The sequence below is a fragment of the Homo sapiens genome, unplaced genomic scaffold (assembly GCF_000001405.40).
Source record: "Homo sapiens unplaced genomic scaffold, GRCh38.p14 Primary Assembly HSCHRUN_RANDOM_CTG1".
NCBI lineage: Eukaryota > Metazoa > Chordata > Mammalia > Primates > Hominidae > Homo > Homo sapiens.
Window position 1 is genome coordinate 1 of NT_113901.1, and position 1,975 is coordinate 1,975.

The following is a 1,975-nucleotide window of genomic DNA, read 5'->3' on the forward strand; positions in this document are numbered from 1 at the left end:
GAATTCCTCGTTCACACAGTTTCTTAAGCTTCCTGGGATGCGACCTGTGATGGCTCGGCGGAGCTCGGTGGCAGCTGTCTCCCTCATCTCCAGTGACACCTGCTGGCTGTAGCAGGCAGTGAGAGGAGTGCAGATGAGATTGGGGGCATCTTTCAACGGACCCTGAGCAAAGCTAAAGGGCTGCGACTCGTTCACGTCGACGACTGCCCTTCGTATCCTGCCTTCCTTGAGGGCCTGTGCTAAGGCTCTCTCGTCCACCAGGCCACCACGGGCTGCGTTCACAAGGAATGCTCCCTGCCTCATCTGCTTTATGGTAAAGTCATTGATGAGGTGGTGCTTAAGTTCGTTGAGACTGCAGTGCAAGGAGATGCAGTCGCTCTGATACAGCCAATCCTGCAGGGTGTAGACCCTCTGCATGCCCAGGGACTGCTCGATCCCATCCTGCAAGTAGGGGTAATAAAACATGACGCTGAATCCAAAGGCTGTGGCTGGAACTGCAAAAGCCTGCTGCGTGCGACCCTAGCCGATGAGGCCCAGCGTCTTCCCACGAATGCGGGCCACTCCCGAGGCCACCTCGCAGATCTGCTCCATGCTCTGAACCCGCTTGCCTTCCCACAGTGCCTGGTACAGCCATGTGTTCCTCCGGTACATGTTGAGAATGTGGCAGTTGGTGGAATTGGCTGTCTCTTCCACGGCTGCGGACGGGATGTTTCACACAGCAATTCCGAGCTCGCTGGCAGCCTTGATGTCCACGTTGTCATAGCCACTGCCCACCCCCACGATCACTCTCAAGGACTTGAAATTTGCCAGAACCTCCCTGGTGAGGTGATTGTGTGGTGCATCATGGGGCCCACGGCTCTGTTTAGAACTTTCTCGTGGATTTCCTGCGTGGACTGCATCATAGAAGGCCACGGTGGCCTTCAGGATGGGCATGTCCACAGTGCAGTCACGGCCGACCAGGAACGCTGCCAGTGAGCGGGGGCTTAGGGGGTCTTTCGTGATCTGGCGGCGAATTCCTTCACAAATTCTGTCCAATCGCTGTCTCTTGACTTAGCGCTTATCCACAGGGCCATTCTTTACGGAACTTTGCAACTCTCAGATCAAAAGGTAAAGCAGTCCTCTAAGAACTTAGGGGAACTCGCAGGAGTCTGTGTGCATGATGCCACTATGAACCCAATATAAATTTGTTCACAAACTCTATAGTTCACACGATGGGCTGTCCGTCTCTTTAAGGGAATATAGCTTCATTGGTTCAAAACCATTTAAGGTGATGAAACCCATTTGGTTGCAACTCAGCCACCATCGCGCAGTCAATCAACGAATCTCACCACGACCCCAGGTCTGGAGCTCCTGGAGTCCGCGACCGCTGGGGGTGGAGGCGGCTTCGGCCTGGTGCAGCCAGGTCCTTGCTCCTGCTCTGAGCCTCGGGCGTGGGTTGGGGGTCCACCCGGGTGTCCCGCATGGTGTCTAAGCTCCTCCCTTGCCGGAGCCCTGCGGACTGGAGGAGTGTTCATATCATTAAGGAGCTTTGATAATTATTTTGATTTTCAAAATTATATAATGCAAAAACAACAACAACAAAGAATAAACCTACAAATTTTGACCTTTAAAAGTCAACAAAGATTTTTAAAGATCAATATTTGTAGGTTTATTTTATTTCTTCAATTGGGACATGTTTTCGTCCTTTTCTGTATGCCCTGCAATCTTTTGATGAGATTCAGAAATTTATAAAACAACTGTGTAATGTAGTATGTACAAACTTGCTTACTACAAGATAATACAACAATCAGTGAGGCTGTACATCCTGGTTCTTCATTAACAGTGTCTTCAATGTGTCTTCTCTGGGCTTGTGTGTGGATTTTTAAGGTAAAGATATTTTTTCCCATTGTTTTCCAGACACTGTGGTCCTTTGCTTCCGCAGTTGATTGTAGTGTTTGTTTCTCTGAGGCTGTGGTAAGCATGTAACTTCTCTTCT

The 1,975-nt window shown here is 50.2% G+C and overlaps 1 pseudogene; it reads right to left on the reverse strand.

Moving 5' to 3' along the window:
* Positions 1 to 3: 3 nt before the first annotated feature.
* LOC100996362 (C-terminal-binding protein 2-like) lies at positions 4 to 1,514 on the reverse strand (annotated as a pseudogene).
* Positions 1,515 to 1,975: the final 461 nt, after the last annotated feature.